General features: G+C 51.6%; 1 protein-coding gene across 1 annotated transcript in view; it reads right to left on the bottom strand.

The window, feature by feature from the left end:
• Positions 1–461: 461 nt before the first annotated feature.
• Positions 462–7,831, bottom strand: part of TMEM38A (transmembrane protein 38A) — a 28,885-nt gene continuing 21,515 nt past the window's right edge. Inside the window, exons 5-6 of the mRNA NM_024074.4 lie at positions 4,080–4,197; positions 462–2,341 (exon numbers count right to left, since the gene is read on the bottom strand). Coding sequence (NP_076979.1) covers positions 2,114–2,341; positions 4,080–4,197 — 346 coding nt within the window. The 3' untranslated portion in view covers positions 462–2,113. The remainder of the gene's footprint in view (positions 2,342–4,079; positions 4,198–7,831) is intronic.

Raw genomic sequence — 7,831 nt, 5'->3', positions numbered from 1 at the left:
GCTGGTCTTGAACTCCTGACCTCAGGTGATCTGCCCGCTTCAGCCCTCCAAAGTGCTGAGATTACAGGGATGAGCCACCATGCCCAGCCATCCCCACATCTTGAGGCCAAAATCCCAGGCATGTGGCTGGGCTCAGTGGCTCACACCTGTAATCCCAGCACTTTGGGAGGCCAAGGTGGGTGGATCATTTGAGGTCAGGAGTTCAAGACCAGCATGGCAACATGGTGAAACCCCGCTTTTACTAAAAATACAAAAATTAGCCAGGTGTGATGGCGGGCACCTATTATCCCAGCTACTCGGGAGGCTGAGGCAGGAGAATTGCTTGAACCCGGGAGGTGGAGGTTGCAGGGAGCCAAGATCGGGCCACTGCACTCCAGCCTGGGCAAGAGTGAGACTCGGTCTCAAACAAAAACAAAAACAAAAAACAAAATCCCAGGCATAAATCAGACAAGCCATGAGGGTTCATTCACAATGATTTATTGGCTGCCCCTCCACACCGAGCTGAGGTGGACAAGCAAGAGGATGAAACCTCCCCAGGACCCACCTAACTCCCAGGCATCACAGGAACAAGGCAATTTTCCAACAGCCTGGCAACGTCTGGGACTCCAACGAGGTCTGGGCCCAAACCTCACCTGAGACTGGCCACGCCCGTCCCATGCACCCACCCCTCTCAGACATCCTGGTGACCTAGGCTGAGATGAGGGTGACCAGGAGGGACCCTTCAGCTATAATATCATCCACCTCGCTCACACTGAAGCAGGCTCCTGGCCCGCCCAGCAGCAGCACAAGGCTGACCACAGAGCAGGTAAGCATCTGTATGTTTGTTCAATGGCTGAATGAGTGACAGTGGACTCCAGCCTGAGGGAGACCTGATACATCCAGGTCCCAACTGTGCACACTCAGAGCCCCTTGATAGAGCTGGATCGTGGAACCCCAACCAGCTGTTTCCATTTCTTTGGTTTAGGGGGAGCCTGAGACGAACAGATCACAAGCCTTTCACGCCATCTGATCTCTCAAGCCTGCCCTAGACGTGTCTACTGAGGGCTTCCTTTGTGCCAGGGAACTTGTGCGTTTCTCTGATCCACACACACGAATGATCTAAAATGCAAAGCCATTTGCAATCATAATTTCCAACTGTCCTGGTCTCCCCTCCTGACTGCACGAGGCTAGGAGCATGTGAGCCTTTTTTAACTGCAGCTTCGCATCGGCCCTTCCGTACAGAGGGGGGCCAAGGGTCTCCACTATACAGATGGGGAGCGCCAAGCTCAGAGGAGGAAGGCAACTTGTCCAGGGACGCCCAGCAAGAGTCGGGACTTTCTGGCCACGTGAAAATGTCTAGCCACTGAGGAGCGTGGTAAGAAGAGACTTTGAAATGGCAGCACCTGGCTCACAGGTACTTAGAAAATGTCCATCAAATGAATGGATCTCAACATGGCTTGAAGTTCTTCAGGAGTCAATATGCAATTTTTTTTTTTTTTTTTGAGACAGGGTCTTGCTGGAGACAGGTCTTATTGGCCAGGCTGGAGTGCAGTGGGAAGATCTCAGCTCACTGCAACCTCCACCTCCTGGATTCATGTGATTCTCCTGCCTCAGCCTCCCGAGTAGCTGGGATTAAAGGCGTGCACCACCACGTCTGGCTAATTTTTGTATTTTTGGTAGAGATGGGGTTTCACCATGTTGGCCAAGCTGGTCTTGAACTCCTGACCTCAGGTGATCTGCCCGCCTCGGCCTCCCAAAGTGCTAGGATTATAGGCATGAGCCACTGTGCCTGGTCAAGATGCAATTTTAAAGAAGGAAAAATACAACTAAGAATATCATGCCAACCAGTGACATTCTTGACTGGAGCTGCTGCCAGGATTCTGTGAACCCCTCCAAAAGCTGTGACTCTATGGGGTCCTGGCAGAGAGAAAGAGGGAACCCCGATTTCTACAAAAGTTCTTCATCCTCATCCCCATATCTCAACCCCCACATCAGCCCTGGAGGGTGAGCCAATGACCCTGATTTGCAGATGGGGAAGTCAAGGCCAGGAAAGGATAGATCTGAGCGCAGGAAGCCTCCCAGCTCAGAGGGTCCTGGGTCCGGGTCCTCTCCCCGGTGCCCCTTGGGCCACCCCCTAATCCGCCTTCTTGGCCTTCTTCTTCCTGGAGCCCTCGCTCAACTCCTCCTTGGACTTGGCGGGCATGGCCGAATGCTGAGCTCCTGGCCCACCACCGCTGTGGGACCCACCATGGTTGTCGTGGTGATGGTCACCCCCGCAGGCCGAACCAAACAGCACGGGGCAGATGTAGCCCTCCAGGGCATCAAAGGGGGAGCTGTGTGAGTGGGTGGCTGTCAGAAACACCTGAGGTGGGGTGGCCAGGGAGACAGCAAGAGAGACAGAGGGAGACCAAGGTAGAAAGCAAAGGAGTGGAGGGCAGGGTGGGGAGAAGAGGGGAGAGAATGTCATCAAAGTCAAGGTTGGAGGTAGCCCAGACCCAGCCCTCTGGCTGCATGCACCCCCAGGATGATGGGCGACCATCTCAGGTTTCCCAGGATGCCAGATTTCAAGTGTTGACCCCTGGAAAGTTCCAAGCACACTGAGACTGCTGGTCACCCATCCCCCAGAATTCCCCACGACACCTGGGCTCAGAGAAAAGCTGTGCTAAGTGCAGGTCTGAAGGTCTGTGTCCTCCCAAATTCATATGTTGAAACCTATCACAAAGGTGATGGTATTAGGAGGTAAGGCCTTTGGAGGGGTAATTAGATCATAAGGGTGGAGCCCTCAGGAAAGACATTAGTGCCCTTATAAAGAGGCCCAGGAGAGCTAACCAGTCCCTTCCACCATGCGAGGACACAGTGAGATGCTGCCTATCTGCAACCAGTAAAGAGGGCCCTCACCAGAACCCGACCAGGCTAGTACCCTGATCTTGGACTTCCCAGCCTCCAGAACTGTAAGAAATACATTTCTTCCTTTTCCTTTTTTTGGAGACAGGGTCTCACTCTGTTGCCCAAACTGGAGTGCAATGGCATGATCTCAGGTCACTGCAGCCTCCACCTCCTGGGTTCAAGCAATTCTCATGCCTCAGCCATCCAAGTAGCTGGGATTACAGGCATGCGCCACCACGCCTGGTTAATTTTTGTATTTGTATTTTGTTTGCCTGTTTGTTTGTTTTTGAGACAGAGTCTCAATTTGTTGCCCAGGCTGGAGTGCGGTGGTGCGATCTTAGCTCACTGCAACCTCCACCTCCCGGGTTCAAGCGATTCTCCTGCCTCAGCCTCCCGAGTAGCTGGGATTACAGGCATGTGACCCCACGCCTGGCTAATTTTTGTATTTTTAGGAGAGATGGGGTTTCGCCATGTTGCCCAGGCTGGTCTTGAACTCCTGGCCTCAAGTGATCTGCCTGCCTTGGCCCCCTGAAGTGTTGGCATGAGCCCCCGTGCCTGCCCAGGAATAAATTTCTGTTGTTTCTAAGCCACCCAGTCTATGGTACTGCATTCTGTTATACAGCAGCCTGAATGGACTAAGACATTTGGCCTGGGGTAGAGCTACAAACATAGCAGGACAGGATCCCAGCCATCTGCTTGCCTCTCCCTTCTCGCCTAATGCAGGAAGACATGCTCACTCCCTTTTGACAGCCCTGGAGTCCTCACCCAGGGAAGACACAGCCCTGAGCTAAGATCTTCATGCAGAGGGAGAGAGCCCAGCCCCTGAAGACCCCTCCTGGGTGGGGTGATGTCAACTCAAGGCATGACTGTCAGACTAGAAGTATTCCTGGTCCAACTGAGTTCCTGGGTACCTGATGCTGCCATTTCAGCTTCTTGTCCCTCTGGTCTCTGTACCCAAGAGAGTGGGCCCACCTTGACCCTGGCTCAGGCTGGGTCCTTTACACAGAAGGCCTGTTCCTCTCATCTGTGTCCTGGCTGCTGGACACTGCCTTTTAAACTCTCTTCCCAGTGACCTACTGGCAAGCATCTCCCCTCTCTGGGCTGCCTGTCCCAGCCACATAAGGCTGGGAGTGTCCAATTTCCCCACTCCCAACCTGGAGGTGGCAGGGTGGCATTGGTCAAGGCAAGAATGCTGCAAGAAGAGAAAGGCTTACCTTACAGGACACCATGAACAAGGTGAAGATGAAGATGAGGCTGGCTTTGGACACTGGGAGCCAGCGGGTCTGCTGGAGGGTGAAGAGGATGGCTCCATACAGGCTGGCCTTGGTGGGGCTGGAGGGAGCAGCTGTCATTACCGGGAGGTGCCTGCATGGCTCAAGTCTTCATAACTCTGGCCCAGACACCCCCCTGCCCTGGCACCAGCTCCCATCCCAGCTTCTCTCTTTTCTTTTCCTTTTGAGATGGAATCTCACTCTGTTGCCCAGGCTGGAGTGCAGTGGCACAACCTCGGCTCACTGCAACCTCCACCTCCTTGTTTCAAGTGTTTCTCCCACCTCAGCCTCCCAAGTAGCTGGGATTACAGGCATATGCCACCATGCCTGGCTAATTTTTGTATTTTTAGGAGAGACAGTGTTTCACCATGTTGGCCAGGTTGGTCTCGAACTCCTGGCCTCAAGTGATCTGCTCGGCCTCCCAAAGTGCTGGGATTATAGGCATGAGCCACTGCGCCCAGCCACAGCTTCTCCTGATTGTAAGGTGGCAGGTTGAGATGGTGTCATCCTATGCATGATGGGTTAACCTGGTCCAAGGAAAGATCTGGCCTTTGTCCAGCTCCTGGAATATGCCCTCTAAGCCCTTGGAGTGTCCTGCCTTGATAAGACTGTCTTTGTTTGCCTGAGGACGGCCTTGGGCCACACCAGGTAGTAACAACGTAATTTATGGTGGGGGTCTTGGGCCATGCAGCATCAGGTGGACCTCTAGAGGGGCTGAAGACTGAGGTCAGCCACACAGGTGGTTAGCTAGTTCTGAGCCACAATAAAAATCCTGGATACCCAGGCTCAGAAGAGCTTCCCTGGTTGGCAGTACACCATGCATGTTGTCACACATTGCTGCTGGGAGAATGAAGCCCTGTCCACATGATTCCACTGGGAGAGGAAAACTGGATATTTTCACCTTTTCTTTCCTGTACTCTGCCTCATGCACATTTTGCCCCTGCTGATTTCTTGTTTGTGTATGAGTCAGAGTCTCATTCTGTCACCCAGGCTGGAATGCAGTGGCATGATCTCAGCTCCCTGCAACCTCCACCTCCTGGGTTCAAGTGATTTTCCTGCCTCAGCCTCCCGAGTAGCTGGGATTACAGATGCCCGCCACCACGCCAGCTGATTTTTGTATTTTTACTAGAGATGGGGTTTCGCCATGTCGGCCGGGCTGGTTTTGAACTCCTGACCTCAAATAATCCACCCGCCTCAGCCTCCCAAAGTGCTGGGATTACAGGCATGAGCTACCACGCCCAGCCAACCCCTGCTGATTTCGTTTTATTTATTTATTTATTTATTTATTTATTTATTTACAGAGACAGGGTCTCTCTCTATCACCCAGGCTGGAGTGCAGTGGTCTGATCATGGCTCACTGTAACTTCAAACTCTGAGGCTCAAGTGATTCTCCCACCTCAGCCCCCCAAGTAGCTAGGGCTAGAGTTATGTGCCACTGTGCCTGCTTAATTTTTAAGTTTTTTTTTTTTTTTTGTAGAGATGGAGTCTTGTTCTATTGCATAGGCTGGTCTTGAACTCCTGGCCTTGAGCAATCCTCCTATCTCGGCCTCCCACAGTGCTGGGATTACAGGTGTGAGCTGCCTCTGCTGATTTTATTCTATATCTTGTCACTGTAATAAATCATAACCCTGAATATAATGGCTTTGCTAAGTTCTCTGAGTCCTTCTAGCAAATCATGGAACATCAGGATGATCTTGGGGATCCCCCATCAGCTTATTTCCCCCAGAAAATGTGATTACAACATGCAGAGTTTTCCTTAACTTTTATTTTTTTCCTTGCAAAATAGGTTTAAGATATTTTTATTTGTTGCAAAAGACAGACCTGTGACTTCTATTCCTGATGTCTGTCTCTCATTGCTTTTTTTTTTTTGAGACAAGGTCTCGCTCTGTTGCCCAGGCTGGAGTACACTTGTGTGATCACAGCTCACTCCAGCTTCAACCTTCTGAGACCAAGCGATCTTCCTGCCTCAGCGTCCTGAGTAGCTGGGACTACAGGCACACACCACCACACCTGGCTAATTTTTTTTTTCTTTTTTTTTTTAGAGATGGGATGTTGTAATGTTGCCCAGGCTGGTCTTGAATTCCTGGTTTCAAGCAATCCCCCTACCTCAGCTTCCTGAATAGCTGGGATTACAGGGGTGGGCCACCATGCCCAGCTTCACTGCATGTATTTAATAATCCTTCCTTCCTCTCTCTCTCTCTCTCTCTGTTTCTTTCTTTGAGACAGAGTCTTGCTCTATTGCCCAGGCTGAAGTGCAGTGGCAGGATCTCGGATCACAGCAACCTCTGCCTCCCGGGTTCAACCGGTTCTCCTGCCTCAGCCTCCCATGTAGCTGGGACTACAGGCATGCCACCACCCCTAGTTAATTTTTTTTTTTTGAGATGGAATTTCGCTCTTGCTGCCCAGGCTGGAGTGCAATAGCGTGATCTCGGCTCACTGCAACCTCCGCCTCCCAGATTCAAGTGGTTCTCCTGCCTCAGCCTCCCAAGTAGCTGGGATTACAGGCATGCACCACCACACCCAGCTAATTTTGTATTTTTAGCAGAAATGGGGTTTCTCTATGTTGGTCAGGCTGGTCTCAAACTGCCGACCTCAGGTGATCTGCCCACCTCAGCCTCCCAAAGTGCTGGGATTACAGGCGTGAGCCACCGTGCCCAGCCTAATGATGATAATTCTCTCTAATATTTCCAAAGCACTCACCAGGTTCCAGGGCCAGGTGATTTAAATGCATGATCCCTTTTTTTTTTTTTTTTTTTGAGACAAGGTCTTGCTCTGCCACCCAAGCTGGAGTACAGTGGCATGATCCTAGCTTACTGAAGCCTCGAATTCCTGGGCTCAAGTAATCCTCTTGCCTCAGCCTCCTGAGTAGCTGGGACCACAAGTGCATCCCACCATGCCTAGCTAATTTAACTTTTTTTTTTTAATATAGAATAGGTCTCACTATGTTGCCCAGTCTTGTCTTGAACTCCTGGACTCAAGCAAACCTCCAGGCTTGGCCTCCCAAAGTGCAGAGATTACAGGTGTGAGCCACCACACCCAGCCCCCAACAAGGTCTTTTAAAAATGCACTAAACTGTCCAGGGCAGGGTGGCTCATGCCTGTAATCCCGGTATTTTGGGAGGCTGAGGTCGGCAGATCACTTGAGGTCAGGAGTTCCAGACCAGCCTGACCAACATGGTGAAACCCCATCTCTACTCAAAATACAAAAATTAGCCGGGCATGGTGGCACATGCCTGTAATCCCAGGTACTCAGGAGGCTGAGGCACGAGAATCTCTTGAACCTGGGAGGTGGAGGTTGCAGTGAGCCGAGATCATGCCAGCATACTCAAGCCTGGGCGACAGAGCAAGACTCTGTCTCAAAAAATAAAAAAATAAAAAACATTAAGCTAAATGCAGTGTGGGATCCTGCATTGGGTCTTGGATGCTGTCACCTGGCCTTGTCCACTTAGCTCCAGATATGCTCCCAATGCACACTCCATATCCCATGCATACCCTGTACCCTGACCCCGCACACCCAGCAGCACTGCTGCTCTTCTGTGATTTCACAGTTGGCAGAGATGCTGGCCTCTGTTGGGAGGCTCCTTCTTGGCCAGTGAACTCCTGCTCACCCTTCAAAACCCCAATCAGGTATTGCCTCCTTCCTGCAGCTCTGCCCTCCCCAACCTCCACACTGAGCAGAGCTATGGCTCTGCTTTG

Source organism: Homo sapiens, chromosome 19 (genome assembly GCF_000001405.40).
Source record: "Homo sapiens chromosome 19, GRCh38.p14 Primary Assembly".
In the NCBI taxonomy this organism is placed as follows: domain Eukaryota; kingdom Metazoa; phylum Chordata; class Mammalia; order Primates; family Hominidae; genus Homo; species Homo sapiens.
Note: the sequence above shows the minus strand (reverse complement) of the source record. Positions and strands in the feature narration are given on the sequence as shown.